This window comes from Homo sapiens, chromosome 4, assembly GCF_000001405.40.
Source record: "Homo sapiens chromosome 4, GRCh38.p14 Primary Assembly".
In the NCBI taxonomy this organism is placed as follows: Eukaryota; Metazoa; Chordata; class Mammalia; order Primates; family Hominidae; genus Homo; species Homo sapiens.
In genome coordinates, this window is record NC_000004.12 from 97,914,306 (window position 1) to 97,933,062 (window position 18,757).

At 37.1% G+C, this 18,757-nt stretch overlaps 1 protein-coding gene and 1 pseudogene across 7 annotated transcripts in view, besides 1 other annotated feature; both read right to left on the reverse strand.

Annotated features, from left to right (window-relative positions):
- The window catches only part of STPG2 (sperm tail PG-rich repeat containing 2), a 702,228-nt gene that overhangs the window by 473,057 nt on the left and 210,414 nt on the right, over positions 1–18,757 (reverse strand). The gene's annotated exons all lie outside the window — the stretch shown is intronic.
- CRYZP2 (crystallin zeta pseudogene 2) lies at positions 113–3,119 on the reverse strand (annotated as a pseudogene).
- Positions 9,763–9,964: a silencer, noted in NCBI's record as "fragment chr4:98845219-98845420 (GRCh37/hg19 assembly coordinates)". NCBI's record gives its function as "represses an EF-1alpha promoter that drives an FKBP-Casp9 reporter gene in an ReSE screen in K562 erythroleukemia cells {active_cell/tissue: K562}" and the evidence as "EXISTENCE:reporter gene assay evidence [ECO:0000049][PMID:32094911]".

Below are 18,757 nucleotides of genomic sequence, written 5' to 3' on the forward strand. Positions count from 1 at the left end.
GTCCACCATCACTGTAAAAAAAAGAATCAGCATACTGAACTAAACTTAAGAAAACAGGCATCAAATAGCTCACCAGGAAAATAAAATACTAGGTCATGAAAAGATTTTTTTTAACTTTTTTTATTGTTGTAAGACACATAAAATGTATCATTTTTATAATTTTTAAGTGTACAGTTAAGCAGTACTAAGTACCTTACCATTGTTGCATAACCATAACCACCACACACCTCCAAAACTTTCCATCTTCCCAAACAGAAACATTGTACCATTAAACAATAACTCTCCATTCTCTCCTCCCCACTTGCAACCACCATTCTACAAGTTGCACACTGAGTATTCTTTATCCAAAATTCTTGAGACCAGAAGTGTTTTGGACTTCAGATTTTTTTGGAGTTTGGAATACTCGCATTATGCCAATTGAGCATCCCAAATCCAAAAATCCAAAATCTGAAATGCTCCAATGAGCATTTTCTTTGAGCATCATGTCGGCATTCAAAAAGTTTCAGATTTTGGAGCGTTTCCCATTTCAGATTTGGGATGTCAACGTGTACTTTCTGTTTCTATGAATTTCACTACTCTAGGTACTTCATATAAGTGGAATCATATAGTATTTGTCCTTTTCTGTCTGGCTTATTTCACATATAATGTCCTCAAGGTTCATCATATTATAGCACGTCAGAATTTCATTCCTTTTTAAGGCTGAATAATATTCCATTATGTGTATACCACAATTTGTTTATCCATTCATCTAGTGATAGATATTTGGGTGTTTCCAGGACAACATATTCTTAATTTAATCCCACAGTTTAAGACTTACAGGTAATTTAAATTAAATTCAACTTACTGAGTAGTTACTAAGGGTAACTCACTATGGGAAGTACTGTGGGAAGTACAAGGGTAAATCAGACATGGTGCCTGCTCTTAAGGAATTTACGATACACTGGGAAAAGAGAAGAAAAGGAAGTAGACGTAACCAGCATTTACTAATTGCTTGCCATGTGCCAAGTGTTTTACCCAATCACTGCATATATAGCTCCCAATGACTCTGTGAGGTAGATACTGTAACATCCATTTTATATAGGGAGAAAAATGAAGGCACTGAGACCTTAAGTAACCACCTCCAAAGCTGGGATTTAAACTCACATCTTGGATTCAGAGGCCTGTGTTCATTCCACTATACATGTTGTTCCCTATGATTCAAGGCAGAATGTGACAAATCCTGGGGAAGCTCCAGGAAGGTAGAAGAGGAAGAGAAGAGACTGCCCCTTGCCTGAGGGTAAAGGCACATGACAAAGGTAGGTCTTAGAGGTCAGGAAGGCTTATGTTTGACAGAGATAGAGGGTGGAAAAAAATTGTACAAGCAGAGCAAAATGACGGAGGCAGGAAAGTTCAGTACATACTTAGGGCCCAGTGGAATTGTGGACCATAAGGCTGGAAAGTGATGCAGGGAAAAATCATGGTCATAATGAAATGCTAGCTCAAGGAGTCTGAACTCCACCATCAGGCAATGGTGAGCCACTGTAGGTTTTTGAGATGGGACATAGTCAGAGCTATGCTTCGGGAAGATCACCATGGCAATAATGCATTGCAAGGATAGAGGGGGTGAGAGTAATTTAAAGGTAGGAAAAGCAGTTAGAAGGTCACTGGTGATAGCAGATGGGGCATAATTAGTCAGAATGGAAAAGAGGATATGGACGTGAGAGATATCTTAGAGGTGTGAATGACAGAACTCGGCAATCACTGCATTTCATAATGCATCAAGTAGGCTGACAATATATCCTGATTTGCCTGGGATATGTTTTCCTAGTGTAATTACAAATGGCACCCTTTTACTCTCCAAAAGGTCCATGTTTGGACAATAAGCTATATTATCATATTAATTAGGAGCAATGAGTAAAAGGAATCAAAGGTGACTCCAAGACTTTAAACCTGGATTAGTAAGGAAAGTGGTAACACCTTTGGAAACACAGAAGGGAAATCAGGTTTTGGGGAAATATGTTGAGTTTTGATCTGGACATGTTAACTTTGCTGCTGAGGTGAGGATTTATTTAACAGCAAGAAGCACCTTGCCCATGGATTTCCCCTGTATCACATGAAGGAAGGCATCACTGACCTCCTCCAGCTTGAAAACCATTCCAACATATGGTTGGATGCGCCCTTGTTGGCAGTACTGAAGCACTGAAGACAGGCTCCTGGAGAAGACGGGAAAGTTCATTTCTTTGTATTGACCATAGTACAGGCCCATCACAGAGACCTTCTTCAGGAGCAGAAGGTTGGCTGGCACCGAAACAATGCTCCCTCCAGCAAATCCCACCACTGCAATCCTGCCCTCCCATGCCAGGCTGTGGAGAGCCTCCAGGAAGACGTCTCCTCCCACCATGTTGATGGCCACATTCATCCCACCCTTGCCCACCAGCTTCCTCACTGCATCCTTCAGGCTGCTCTGACTATAGTTCACGCTGAACTGTGTGCCCCTCTGCATCACCAGGTTGCACTTCTCGCCACTTCCAGCAGCAGCTATTACCTTGGCCTGAAGAGCATTTGTTGCCACATCTATCACTACAAGGCCTGTGGCTCCAGCTGCTGCCATCACTAAAACAATTTCTCCAGGTTGGGTATGGGCCGATGCTCAAGAGCAAAAATAGCAGTGCCATAAGATAAATGGAGGACAGCAGCTTCTTGTAGGGAGAACTTTTCTGGAATCTGCCACAGGTTCTTCTGATCAGTGACACATTCTTCAGCCATACATTTAAAGTTTCTTATGCCAATAACTCTATCTCCCTCTTTAACTGTGCTGACATCTGTGTCTGTCTCCAATCCTGTCCCAGAAAACTCCATTCCAGGTATGAAGGGAAGATGGGGCCTTTCCTAATATTCACCACAGCAGACCAAAACATCAGCAAAGTTAACTCCACAGAAATGGACATCAACTGTGACCTCGTGAGGCCTGACGGGGCGGGGGGCCACCTCTTCAACCGTCAGGGGCTTCTTCAGCTCTGCGCAAATCACAGCGCGGTAGTGCCGGCCGCAGTCCTGCCTCTCTCTCCTGCAGAGCAACGACTGAGAGAGGCACTGCCTGCAGAGCACTGCCGCCATAGCCAGGCCAAGCGAGGGGCAAGCAAAAGATTTTTAAAATAAGAGAACAAATTGAGAAGATCTCAATACGGGTTCAACACCAGCAAACAATAAATGACTTTCATATTTTTTCATTTTTATGTAAGAACATAATTTACCCCTGGCTAAAAAAAAAATTCAAAACATAATGGTTAAAACTTAAAATAATATAGTAGCAATTTCAAATAGATACAATAAACTTAAGCTTTTAAAAATATATTCAGGTAAAAATATATCTTAAAAGCTATCTTGATACAGAGGATAGAAATAACCTCAAAGAGCTGTTAATCTCATAAACTCTGGGGACAAAAGCACACTAAAATAGGTGCAGAATACAATGTCAAAGAAAACCCACTCTCTGGACACTTTTTTTTAGACAAGATAAAGGATTTCTCTTAGACTACATCCTCTAAATTTCATCTTTTTAGGCTTATTAAATATTTCATAACTATATCCATTCCACCGTTGAGGTAGGACACTACTCATAGGAAAAAAAAGAGTGGCTGTTGACTTGCATTCTTCCTTAAATATAAAAGTATGTACTGAGAACCTACTGTGTACCTAGCATGATACCAAAACTACAATGGAGAACTCTGCATTTAACAAATAAACAATCTTTCTAAAATTAAGGCATGCGTATATAAGGAAGATAAAAAAAAACCTAAATCTCATGGCAAATGTTCCTCAGTAAATTTGTGAAAATTCTTGAGTAATTATATTCATAAAAGACTTATTAGACTGAGAAAGAAAAATTACTAAACTCCTATATTATACCTATCTTTTCCAACAAAAGGTAACTTTCCTGGTGAAAATAAAAAACTAGTTCATAAAAATAGACTTCAAAATAGATGAAAACAATTGTCAGAGATAACCAAGATGTTCCAGATAAATTCAGGATTCTGAATTGATATTGTAACAATACAGAGAAAGCCAGCACAGGAAATTGTGTATACTGTTAAGAATTTTTTATGCATTAAGGAGAACTCTCTATATATCACAAAGTGATGATGGGTCATTACTTTCACACACACATACACACACACAAACACACACACATTGGTCACATGCTGATCCATAGGTCCATGCTGTGTATGTGTAATAAAAAACTAGTTTTTTAATTTTCACCAGGAAATAAATAAATATATATGTGTATGTGTATATGTATACACATATATATACACACACACATACACACCATGGAATACTACTAAGCCATAAAAAAGGAATGAAATAATGGCATTCACAGCAGCCTGGATGGAGTTAGAGACCATTATTCAAAATAAAGTAACTCAGGAATGGAAAACCAAACATCCTATGTTCTCACTTATAAGTAGGAGTTAAGCTATGAGAACACAAAGGCATACAAATGATATAATGAACTCTGGAAACTCGGGGGAAGGGTGGGAGACAGGTGAGGGAAAAAAGACTACACACTGGGTGCAGTGTACACTGCTCGGGTGATGGGTACACCAAAATCTCAGAAATCACCATTAAATAGCTTATTTATGTAACCAAACACCACCTGTTCCCCAAAAACTATTGAAATAATTTTTAAAAATTAAAAGCAAGGTTTAATAGATTGAAATAATTGAGTATGCTCTACTTCAATCATGGAAGTATGCTTGAAATCAATAACAAATAATGAAAAATAAAACTACATAGGGATTAAACACACTTCTAAATATGTCAAAATAGAAAAACAAACATGAATTAAAAAACATCTTACACTAAGTGAAAATAACCAACATAACAGAATTTGTAGAATTCAGCTAATGTAGCACATTAAGGAAAGCGATTTCTGCTTCAAATATATACATAATCAAAAAGAAAAGAAGCTGAAAATTATCAATTTAGGGTTCATTTTAAGAAACTAGAAAAAAAACAAATGAAAATCACAAGAAATGCAAAAGAAAAAATATAAAGAAATAGAAATTAAATATATAATAGAGAATATCAACAGTCAAAAGTTTTTCTTTAAAAAGAGTATAAATATTGATAAACTCCTAGTAAGACTTATTACAGAAAAATTAAAAAAAAGAAAATACGAATCACCAACATCAAAGGGAAAAGAGGGAACTTAACTATAGTTTTCATAAACACAAAAAAAAGAAGAGAATGTTATGATTAACTTTAAGCAAATATATTTGGCAATTTGAAAAATGGATATATTTCTCAAAAATTGAATGAATAAAAGTAGACAAAAGAAGAAATAGTTCAATATTTATTAAAGGAACTGAATATTTTTTTCAAAAACCTTCTCACGGAGAAAAATCTAAGGTCCAGAAACTTTAACAGTGAATTCTTATAAATATTTAAGAAAGAATAACTCAATCTTGGAAAAAACCTAGTAAAAACTCTTCCAGTGAATTCAGGGGGATACTCTTTTTTAAGAACCCAGAATACCTTGACCCCCAAACCTATAAAAGGTCATTATAAGAAAGGACATTTGCATTCCCTGTCTATAACTTTTTTTTACTTTTGCCAACACTGCCCTCCTTGAATTTATTGAATAGCCTATGTACTGCCATGTTAGGCAGTATATTATTTCCCATCAAGGAACAATTTCAGAGGAAAAGAAATGTAACAATGGACTCATGTCCATAGAATTTACTAGGTCTAACACATCTTCATCAGTTAAAAGTAGCTGGCCTAAAAGAACAGAAAGGACTGCCAAAAACTCGATTATGGTGCCAATTGAGAGACAAAACACTGAGAGGACAGGATTCTGGCTTACAGAATTTAAAACAGGCTTTGTATCAGACATCAATCTAGTGCAGTCTTTCCCCATATCCAGAACTCATAAGTCCAGCAACCAAGGAATAGAAGTTCAAATAGCTCTTCTCACTATTTCGCCTTGTCACACACTCACAAAATTTTTGCCTCTTGTCTCTACAACTTTGAGCTGTACTTGTTTAGAAGTCTTGGTTCTCAAGGAAGGAATGTTTCCACACTCTGATTCTACAAAACTAAAAGTTGAGACTGCCAACTAGTATTTTATGCTACTCGTGCCACTGGACCAAAGTAAAAGTTTCTCTACCGACTGGGGTGACTTATCACAATTAACAAGTGGAAATTGGGTTGATGTTACGTAGTGAGGGCAGGTGTCAGTGGATTCTCTGAGGTTCCTGTTAATAATTTTATCTCCTTATTAAGAGTTAATGAAAATGTAAATCAACCAAAAAAAAAAGCAGTGCCACAGAGGATTTATATCCTTCAAAAATGAAGGGTGTAGATTATTCCAACAAATAAAGAACCCTGAACAGCTGACAACCTGGCTGAGAGTAAAGGAAACATAGACAGGACCATAGACGTGAGAAGTAAGAAATATCACCTATGGTCTTTGACCAGTTAACACATAAGGACTGTGGCAACTATGCATATTAACTTTTTTACCTAGTGTGTGTGTTAACTTTTTTCATCTTTCCTCTTATCCCTCCTTTTTTTATTTTCTAAAAGTCTTACAAGAAATTAACAACGAAGAGTGGTATCTGCAAGATGGGAGAATAGGACTTTCCAACACTCATCTCATTACAGAAACATCAACTTGAACAACTGTCCACAAGCAAAATGTTGTGGATAACCTTAACAAGAGCTAAAGAATTCAGGTGAGACATTACAGCACCTGGGTGTAACACAGAAATAATAAAAGATGCATTGAGGTTAGAAAGTACCGGTTTACATTATTTGTGTCACTCCCATCCCCAAGCCCAGGCAGCATACTGTGGGCAGAGATAGTCTCCTCATAGGGGGAAGGAGAGTGAAGTGATCACCTAACTTTGCCATGCACCCCTGACCAAGCAGGCACTAATGGCCTCAGGCTCCAGGCCCACTCCACTACCAATCCTGCTCCGGCAGCCCCAGGATCCAGCTCAATTCCTGCAGACTCATAGTCCAGACCTACCCCAGTTTCCAAAGTGGCCTGACAAGTCAAAATAATTGTCTTAAGAAAATTCAGTGATCTACAAGAGAACACAGACAACTAAGCAAATATCAGTAAAACAATATGGAAACAAAATTAGAAGTTCAATAAAGAGATAGAAGCCATGGAAAAGAACCCAAAAAGAAATTCTGGACAATGACAAAACTGAAAAATTCCACAGAGAGCTCCAATAGTACACTAAATCAAGCAGAAGAAAGAATTAGTGAGCATGAAGATAGGTTATTTGAAATTACCCAGAGGAACAAAAAGAAAGCAAAAAACCTACAAGACATATATGGGACATCATCAACTGAATCAATATATGCATTATGCACTTCCCAGAAGGAGCAGAGAGAAAAAAAGGATAGAAAAGTTACTGAAAAATATGACAGAAAACTTCGCAGATCTGGAGTAGAAAATGAACATCCAGATCGACAAGGCTAAGTGTTCATCAACGGATAAAGAAAAGTGGCACATATATACAATGTAATATTATTCAACCTTTAAAAAGAAGGAAATCCTGTCATTTGCAACAATATGAATGAACCTAGAGGACATTATGATAAGGGAAATTAGCAGATACAGAAAGACAAATTCTGCATGATTTCACTTATATGTTGAATGTAAGGAAATTGAACTCTTAAAAGCAGAGAGTAGAATGGTGGTTTCCAGGAGCTGGAGGGCAGGTGAAGAAATGGAGAGATTTAGGCCAATGGTTACAAAGTTTCTGATAGGAAGAGTAAGTTCTGATGAATAAGCTGCATGATGACTGAAGTTAATAATAATAGGTCATATACTTAAAAATTGTTAAGATCTTAAATGTTCTAACCACAAAAATGTATTTGTGGTGATGAATATGTTAATTAGTTTTATTACATCATTTTACAGGGAATACATACATCAAAACATCACATTGTATGTCATATATATATATATGTAATTTTTATTTCCTAATTATTCCTTAGAAAAGCTGGAGAAAAAAAGGAAAAAATAATGTAACAGTTAACAACAACCATAAATTTAAAATGTATAATTCAGCATTTAAGTAACAGAATATTTAGATGGCCTGACTAAATTTGGCCAGAGATGAAAAAAATGACTGTTAAAAACTTGTGTCTCCTCATTTTGAAGAAACTGAGAATGCCTTTGTTGTACAAAAAATGGTTGTATCTTATTACTAAGAAAAAAAGTTGTTTGTAGTGCTGTGTGGAAGTTCAAATATGTATAAAAATGCACAGGTATGCTGAATAGCCAATGGGGTGAAATGTATGAAATTTTAAACTACTGTCTCTCAGCTCCAAACCTAGGAATCTGCAAACCATATTTATGCTTTGCCAGATGGCTCTCTGTTAGGTCCTGCAAACAGGAGATGCTAGACAGCATATGCAAGGTTAGGGGAAGAAGGGATTTCCCCTTTTCAATAGGCTTCTACATTCTGGAAGCAGCAGTTCCTTCCCATAATTGCAATTTTCCAAATCCACTTGCAATTTTTCCAACATGCTTCTGCTTTTTTCCCGGTGTCATTATGTACCCTATGAAACTTTATAACATGAGTATTTCTTTCTCTCATTATTTTCCTTCTTTATACTCCTCCTTGCATCTCTGGCCTTTTCCTTTTCCCCTCTTTTCTCTACAAATGTCATTTTATTTTTCTACCAAAGTCATTTCAACTATATAAAACTGTTAGTTTTCCACACTGGTTTCCCATGTACTTGTGTTGATAATAATAATATTGAGAGGTGACAGCGTGCTGGCAGCCCTCGCAGCCCTCGCTCACTCTTGGCACCTCCTCGGCCTGGGCGCCCACTCTGGCCATGCTTGAGGAGCCCTTCAGCCTGCCGCTGCACTGTGGGAGCCCCTTTCTGGGATGGCCCAGGCCGGAGCCAGCTCCCTCAGCCTGCGGGGGGGTGTGGAGAGAGAGGCACAGGTGGGAACAGGGGCTGTGCGCAGCGCTTCCCCTCCCACCCCCCCCGCCATGGGCTCCTGTGTGGCCCACCTCCCCGACAAGTGCCGCCCCCTGCTCCAGGGCGCCCCGTCCCATCGACTGCCCAAGGGCTAAGGAGTGCAGGCGCACAGCGCAGGACTGGCAGGCAGCTCCACCTGTGGCCCCAGTGCTGGATCCACTGGATGAAGCCAGCTGGGCTCCTGAGTCTAGTGGGGACTTGGAGAATCTTTATGTCTAGCTAAGGGATTGTGAATGCACCAATTGGCACTCTGTATCTAGCTCAAGGTTTGTAAATGCATCAATCAGCACTCTGTGTCTAGCTCAAGGTTTGTAAATGCACCAATCAGTGCTCTGTGTCTAGCTAATCTGTTGGGTACTTGGAGAATCTTTTTGTCTAGCTAAGGGATTGTGAATGCACCAATCGGCACTCTGTATCTAGCTCAAGGTTTGTAAATGCACCAATCAGCACTCTGTGTCTAGCTCAGGGTTTGTAAACCAATCAACACTCTGTATCTAGCTAATCTAGTGGAGAACTTTTATGTCTAGCTCAGGGATTGTAAACACACCAGTCAGCACCCTGTCAAAATGGACCAATCAGCTCTCTGTAAAACAGACCAATCGGCTCTCTGTAAAATGGGCCAATCAGCAGGATGTGGGTGGGGCCAGATAAGAGAATAAAAGCAGGCTGCCTGAGCCAGCAGTGGCAACCCACTTGGGTCCCCTTCCACAATGTGGAAGCTTTGTTCTTTCACTCTTTGCAATAAATCTTGCTACTGCTCACTCTTTGGGTCCACACTGCGTTTATGAGCTGTAACACTCACCGCGAAGGTCTGCAGCTTCACTCCTGAGGTCAGCGAGACCACGAACCCACCAGAAGGAAGAAACCCTGAACACATCCGAACATCAGAAGGAACAAACTCCGGACACACCACCTTTAAGAACTGTAACACTCACCGCGAGGGTCCGCGGCTTCATTCTTGAAGTCAGTGAGACCAAGAACCCACCAATTCCAGACACAATAGGATGTTACTTAATAAAAACATTTTAAACATATGTGATGGAAAATGCCTTTTCCTCTACACATGCTATAGTAATACAATAGGACTTTTGTCTGCCCCTAAAAACTCCCAATGGGAAGGTCATTAGTACATAGTTTTGTATATAATTAGGAGCAGATGCTCAAAATTTTAATATTCTGAATTGGTCAAAGTATAACTATGTTAAGCATATCAGTGACTCATATTTCTACATGTAAATCCAGCATTAAAGATGACAGCCTTCTTCATTAGGGGAGGTAATTTTGAAAAGGGATATGAGTTCTTAAATGTTTAAATATACTAATGCAAGGTTTACTCTTCATGAATATGTTCATCTTAAGATGATTAGACATTTGAAGTCAATTTTTAAATGTCATGTTTTATTCGTCATAAATTTGATATAAAGAGGTTTTAATGATAATAATACCATATTATAACATATGTAGAGGTAGTAGATAAGTCATGTTTGCATCAGGGACCTTAAATTATGGAGTTAAAAGTCCTGGCTAATCATCTCTGTATCATTTTTAATATATTGTCCCTCTTTTCACTCCCACATTTTCTACCAAACAATGACTTGTTGATACAAAATGTTGGATGGATGCCATAGATGCAGCAGCAGAATTTATTTCTCAGAGATTATGTAGAATATGAATCATTTGTTGTTGTTCATTCTAAATGAATATGGCACCTTCAAAATTAGAACAGATTGCATTCTCAAAACACATGAGAAAATGTTATCAACCAAAGAGTAAAGATAAAATTATTTCTTTGCAAATCTATTACTTCTGAGATTTATGTACTGCAAATAAAAATAACCAGAACTAAAAGTTCTAACCTAGAAGTTCTGAATTGCATTCTCTTCACAATCTATATAACCAGACAGGCAATAGCACTCAATCAGGAATTAAGTTGTTAGAATCTGGTTTATCACAGTGCATCATGTTCAGCAGTTTCCTTCACTGTTCCTTCTCGGCCTTGATGAAGATGGCAACTATCAGCACTTATTCCTGCTGTTTGCTTATCAAACCCATTTTCTGAGCTAATGAAGTTAGACAATTAAATAAAAAATTTATAAAAAGTTTAAAATGTAATGGAAGTACAGGAAGTATATAAGTTCACTATGACCAATTCACTCTTCAGTGTGTCAGAAATCATTTATCTAAAATCCTTTACTTGTACTGATGGCCCTGCAGTAAGAAAATTTATTATAATGTGCTGTCTCCCATCAGTGGTTAGTTGTATAATAAGATAACAACAGACCAACCAACAAAGCAAACCCTAAAAACTGTCCAAGAATCTAAGAATTTTCCATATTCAATGAGAAAGTATAACAAAAGAAAGAAGTGAGAGTAACAAAATACAGTTTTTAGTCAGAATAACTTTGATTCTTATTCAGCTGAAATTCATTTCTAATGTGTTTTTACTATCTTCAGGATCCCAAGGATCTGTGTCCCAGGCCCAGGGGATCTTTATTTTGAGCTCCTGAGACACTTTTACCAGCTGACCTGTGACACCTCTTCAGAAGTCTGAATTCTGAATCCCAGCTCCATAAGATCTCTGCAAGCTTTCAAATTTTAGTAATTCTAACCTATACCTTTTATTCCTCAAGGCTTAATGACGGTGGCATTTCCTGTATCACTACCTCCATGATACCTTAGTGTTCCTTCACCTTTTCAGCTTTCCAATATCCATAATTCCTTATACAATTTTATCTCAAAACTACTAGTATGGTTCTGTCTTCTGACTAGATCCTGACTGATCATAGGCCCTCTCTACCTAAATGTATCTTTATGCATTTTGATCTGCAGTAGCCACCTACTGCATGAGACAAGGAGGGTGTTACTCTAACACCTTTCCAGACTTTCAGATAGAAAATGAAGTTCATACTTCATCATCCCTGGGATTTCTAGACCCAAGTCTGTGATTATCCTACCACTACTTCCCAAACTCCAGTCTTACCAGGGTTCACCCACAATGTGAGAGAGCATAAAACAGACCTCAAATTCAGATCTCAATTCCCTTGTTTTTCTACTCTTTTTGATCCTTCCATGTCCTTCCCATCCAAGAAGGGCTCTCTCTTTCATTTTACCAGACTTCCCCTATCTTGTACTTTTCCTATTCTCTTTCTCATAGAAATGCTTTTATATCTCTGCCATCACCATTAGAAGAACATGCTCCACCTATCCTGCTGGTCCCAAGAACCATTATAAAGTCATGGCTCCCCACAACTATTGTCTCTGAAATGAACTTTAAGAAATGTTTCCGAAGTAAAACACTTATTCTTTCCATGCCTTTGCATTTCTGACATAGAAATTCTAATCCTCTGCAAGACAAAGGAGCTTCTGGTTTAAAAAGATGAGTTTCACTTTCAAGGAAGTGTGAAAAACAAAAAGACATCACTAAATTTTAACATGTTCTTCATTAATATTATATTAATAGAATGATGAAAAGAGACATGTTCTTCATTAATATTATATTAATAGAATGATGAAAAGAGACCACAGGCATGAGACTGACTTAGCTTTGAAACATAACTCTACCATTTTTACAATTTTTATAGCTAAAAATATAGTAGGCTTATAGCCTACTATAGGCAACACAGTGAAATAAATGTTGTACGTAATAACACACTTAATTCTTACCATGGCCCTATCAGGTACGTCTTGTTATCCTTACTTAATAGTTAAGGAAACTGAAATTTACAGAAGTTGCCTAAACTCACGCAACTAGGCAGTGGAGCTGAGATTTAAAAAGTATTTTTCTAATTCCAAAGCTTTTGCTGTTAAACTTTAACCTAGCTCGAGATGATACACAAAATATTTAACAACTCAAATTAACAAATTAATATATAAATCAAAATTTATTTTTAAATTCCTTTTCATTCTCAACTCTATGTATTATAACTGATAAGTGATACAAAGGTAGCACAAATTGTTCACTAAATAATTCTAAGAAATTTCAAGTCATTTGTTAACTTTTAGAAAATGTTGGTATAATTTTTGTGATATATTTTGTTATGAGTCGTCACTAGCCAATGATTGCCCTTTCTGAGCCATAAATTGACCTAAGAAAGTATATCAAACTCTTCTACTGCCTTTCCCACTAACCTGATAGTCAACTTTTAGTTTCTCAATAACTAAAGGAAAGTTTTAACTTCAACAGTATTGTTTATGATGCTGAATCCTCTCTCAGTTTATGCTAAACAATAGTGATTACATTTTTTAAAAAAAGTTATATACCTTATAATAACATCCGAGATCTTTATGCTTATATAGCTTTTTAAAAAATCACAAAAAAAGTTTATAATACTATCATATTCATTTTAGTCAACCCTAATTTTTCAAGCCAGAGGAAAGTGCCATGAAATCACCCTAAAGAGAGTGACTTCTATTGGATTGCCTCAGTTTGAATTCTGGCTCTGCAACTTAAACTTTAAACTCTGCGCCTCCATTTCTTCATTTTTAAAGATTACCATAACTATAGTACTCAATGAGTTAATATGCATTTGGAATGGTGCCTGGCATGGAATAAGTACTATATAAGCATTAGCTCTTATTTTCATTAATAAAATCAATGTCACCAATGTCTGTGATACACAGTGTTTTGTGGTTTTTAATAATTTAATTCATTAAATGAAAGTGAAATATAACATATTCTCAGGGTGATTCCCCTAACACATACTCAAAACCAAAACATTCAACACAGGCAATCTTCCTTTCAATCCTCTGGTAAGTAGAAAGGGTAAATTTATTTGCATTTCACTTTTAACCTGCATAGGTTGACCACTAGAGTTTTAGTGTATTAATGAATTTTCTTTGAGACTACCCACTACAAGAGTCTTAAACTTGGTTTCCATCTGAGAGGCCCTCCTTGGCCATAAAAATTAAAACCTAAACTCATCTGGTAGGGCAAATGCCCTTACGGTGAAAGTTAGCTTTAGAACTTTACTTGCCACTCTGGGTTCCTCCTTAATTTAGCCTGTGTATTGTGTACTCCTTACTTTCTAACTCTTGGAAAAATTCATTAATATGTTTTGTTTCTTTTGTGTAGAAGTTTTGTTATTTTCAGAGAGTGGGTCAATACAGATACCAGTACATCATAGTGCCATTCCAAATGCATATTAAATCATTTGAGTACTACTTCTACTTTTATTTCAAAATAATACCTTCACTTCATAAACAAAAATATAATCATATACAAGGGTCTAAAATAAACAGTAAAAATGTCCTCCTTTGACCTCTCCCTGGGTCCATTCTAAGAAATAATTCCTTTAAGTAATTAGGTCTTTAAGGGATTTTTGTTGTGGGGTTGTTTTTGTTTTTATTTTGTTTGGGTTAGTTTTGTTGCATGTACCATTACAAGTTTAATATAAGGCCTAATACTGATTTGTGAATTTTTAACATCTGTTAACTCTGCATTATGAAATGAGAAATATGGAACATATACTATCTCCCAATCTCTTTATTATTTTATATTAAGGTTTATAAAGTTTATATTCTGTCTTATAATTAAGTCTTCTTTTATTTGTGTAGTTGATTTAAAATAAACCAATTTTATTTTTTTTAACTGTTATTTTAGGTTTGGGGGTCCATGTGAAGGTTTGTTACATAGGTAAACTTGTACCACAGAGATCTGCTGTACAGATATTTCACAACCCAGGTATTAAGCCCAGTACCCACTGTTTATCTTTTCTACTCCTATCCCTTCTCCCACCCTCCACCCTCAAGTAGACCCAGTGTGTACTGTTTCCTCCTTTGTGTTTATAAGTAACTATCATTTAGCTCCCACTTGTGAGAACATGTAGTAGTTGGTTTTCTGTTCCTGCATTAGTTTACTAAGGATAATAGCATCCAGCTCCATCCATGTTCCCACAAAGGCAGGATCTCATTTTTTTATGGGTGCATAGTATTCTATGGTGTATATGTACTACATTTTCTTTCTCCAATCTGTCATTGATGAGCATTTGGGTTGATTCCATGTCTTTGCTATTGTCAATAGTACTGCAATAAGCATTTGCATGCATGTGTCTTTATGGTAGAACAATTTATATTCCTTTGGGAATATACCCAGTAATAAGATTGCTGGGTTGAATGGGATTTCTGTTTTTAGATCTTTGGGGAATTGCCACACTGTCTTCTACAATGGTTGAACTAGTTTACACTCCCACCAACACTCTACAAGCATTCTTTTTTCTCTGCAACCTCACTAGAATCTTTTATTTTTTCACTTCTTAATAATAGCCTTTCTCACTGGTGTCAGATGGTATCTCAGTATAGTTTTGATTTGAATTTCTCTAATTATCAGTGATGTTGAACTTTTTCTCAGTTGATTGTTGGCCACATGTATGTCTTCCTTTGATAAGTGTCTGTTCATGTCCTTTGCCCACTTTTTAATGGGGTTTTGTTTTACTCTTGTAAATTTGTTTAAGTTCCTTATAGATGCTGCATATTAGACCTTTGTCAGACGGGTAGATTGCAATAATTCCCTCCCATTCTGTAGGCTGTCTGCTCACTCTGTTGATAGTTTCCTTTACTGTGGAGCTCTTAAGTTTAATCAAATCCCATCTTCCAGTTTTTTTGTTTGTTTGTTTGTTTTGACACGGAGTTTTACCCTATCACCAGGCTGGAGTGCACTGGCATGATCTCAGCTCACTGCAACCTCCACCTCCCAGGTTCAAGCGATTCTCCCACCTCAGCCTCCCGATACCTGGGACTACAGGCAAGCACCACCACGCCCAGCTAATTTTTGTATTTTTAGTAGAGATGAGGTTTCACCATGTTGGCCAGGATGGTCTCAATCTCCTGACCTCGTAATCTACCCACCTCAGCCTCCTAAAGTGCTGGGATTACAGGCATGAGCCACCATGCCCAGCCCAATTTTTACTTTTGTTGCAATTACTTTTGGTGTCTTTGTCATGAAATCTTTACCTGTTCTTATGTCCAAGATAGTATTGGCTAGGTTGTTCTCAAGCGTTTTTAGAATTTTGGGTTGCACATGTAAGTCTTTAATCATCTTGAGTTGTTTTCTGTATATGGTATAAAAAGGGGGTCCAGCTTCATTCTTCTGCATATGGTTAACCAGTTATGCTAGTGTCATTTATTGAATTGGGAATGTTTTCCCCATTGCTTGTTCTTGTCAGATTTGTTGAAGATCAGATGGTTGTAGATGTATGGCCCTCATGTCTGGTCTCTCTTTTTTGTTCCATTGGTCTATGTGCCTGTTTTTGTACCAGTGCCATGCTGTTTTGGTTACTGCAACCTGGTAGTATAATTTGAAATCAGGTAACATGATGCCTCCACCTTTGTTCTTTTTGCTTAGGATTGCCTTGGCTATTAAGGCTCTTTTTTGGTTCCATATGACTTTTTAAAGGTTTTTTTCTAGTTCAGTGAAGAATGTCACTGGTAGTTTCATAGAAATAGCATTGAATCCACAAATTGCTTTGGGCAGTATGGCCATTTTAACAATATTGATTCTTCCTATCCATGAGCGTGGTATGTTTTTCTATTTGTTTGTGTCTTCTGTCTTCTCTCATTACTTTGAGCAGTGTTTTGTAATTCTCATTTTAGAGACCTTTCACCTCCATGATTAGCTGTATTTCTAGGTATTTTATTCTTTTTGTGGCCTTTGTGAATGAGTTCATTTGTGATTTGGCTCTCAGCTTGACTACTGTTGGTGTATGAAAATATTAATGACATTTGTAGATTGATGTTATATCCTTAAATTTATCTGAAGTTTTCTATTAGCTGAAGGGGCTTTTGGGCCAATACTATGGGATTTTCTAAATATAGGATCATGTCATCTGCAAACAGATATAGTTTGGCTTCCTCTCTTCCTATTTGGATGCCTTTTATTTTTTTCTCCTGCCCGATGGCTCTGGCTAGGACTTCCAATACTATGCTGAATAAAAGTGGTGAGAGAAAGCTTCCTTGTCTTGTGACAGTTTTCAAAAGGAATACTTCCAGCTTTTGTGCAATCAGTATAAGGTAGGCTGTGGATTTGTCCTAAATGGCTTTTATTATTTTGGGAAATATTCATTCAATACCTAGTTTATTGAGAGTTTTTAACATGCAGGCATGTTGAATTTTATCAGAAGCCTTTCTGAAGCTATTGAGATAATCATGTGGTTTTTGTCTCTAGTTTGGCTTATGTGATAAATCGCATTATCAATTTGCATATGTTGAAACAACCTTGAATCCTGGAAATAAATCCTACTTCATCATGGTGGATTACCTTTTAGATATGCTGCTGGATTCAGTTTGCAAGTATTTTGTTGAGGATTTTTGCATCAATATTCAATAAAGATGTTGGCTTGAAGTTTTTTTGTTTTTGGTTTTTTTGTTTTTTGTTGTTGTTGTTGTTTGTTGTTTTTTTATCTTTTTGTGTGTGTGTGTGTTTCTGCCAAGTTTTGGCATCAAGATAATCCTGGTCTCATAGACTGAGTTAGGAAGTAGTCCCTTCTCCTCAATTTTTTTTAATAGTTTCTGTAGAAACTGTACCAGCTCTTCTTTGTACATCTGGTAGAATTCAGCTATGAATCCATCAGGTCTTGGTCTTTTTTTTTAGTTGGTAGGCTATTTATTACTGATTCAATTTCAGAACTCATTATTGGTCTGTGCAGGGAATCAATTTCTTCCTGGTTCAAGTCTTGGGAGGATGTATGTGTCCAGGAATTTACCCATCTCTTCTAGGTTTTGTACTTTGTGTGTAGAGATGTTTGCAGTAGTTTCTGATGGCTGATTTTATTTCTGTGGGATCTGTAGTAACATTCCCTTTGTCATTTCCAATTGTGTTAGTTTGAATATTCTCTCTTTGCTTCATAAGTCTAGCTAGTGGCCTATGTATTTTATTAATTTTTTCAAAAACCAACTCCTGGATTCTTTGATCTTTTGAATGTTTGTTCGTGTCTTGATTTCCTGCAGTTTAGCTCCGATTTTTGCTATTTTTCATCTTCTACTAGTTTTGGGGTTGATTTATCCTTGATTCTCTAATTTTTCAAGTTGTGAAGTTAGGTTGTTAATTTGAGATTTTTCCAAATTTTTTTTTAATTTTATTTTAAGTTCTGGGACACATTTGCAGAACATGCTAGTTTGTCACATAGATAAAAGTGTGCCATGTTGGCTTGCTGCACCTATCTACTCATCAACTAGGTATTAAGCCTCACATGCATTAGCTATTTTTCCTGATGCTCTCCTTCCCCCTGGGCCCCAAACAGGCCCCAGTGTGTGTTGTTCCCCTCCCTGTGTCCATGTGTTCTCATTTTTCAGCTCCCACTTATGAGTGAGAACATGCAGTGTTTGGTTTTCTGTTCCTGTGTTAGTTTGCTGAGGATGATGGCTTCCAGCTCCATCCATGCACCCGCAAAGGACATAATCTCATTCCTTTTTATGACTGCATAGTATTCCATAGTGTATATATAATACATTTTCTTTATCCAGTCCATCATTGATGGTTATTTGGGTTGATTCCATGTCTTTGCTATTGTGAATAGTGCTGCAATAAAGATATGTGTGGATGTATCTTTATAATAGAATTATTTGTATTCCTTTGGATATATATCCCAGTAATGGGATTGCTGGATCAATTGGTATTCCTGGTTCTAGATCATTAAGGAATCGCCACACTGTCTTCCACAATGGTTGAACTAATTTATATTCCCACCAACAGCATAAAAGTGTTCCTATTTCTCCACAGTCTTGCCAGCATCTGTTGTTTCTTGACTTTTTAATAATCACTATTCTG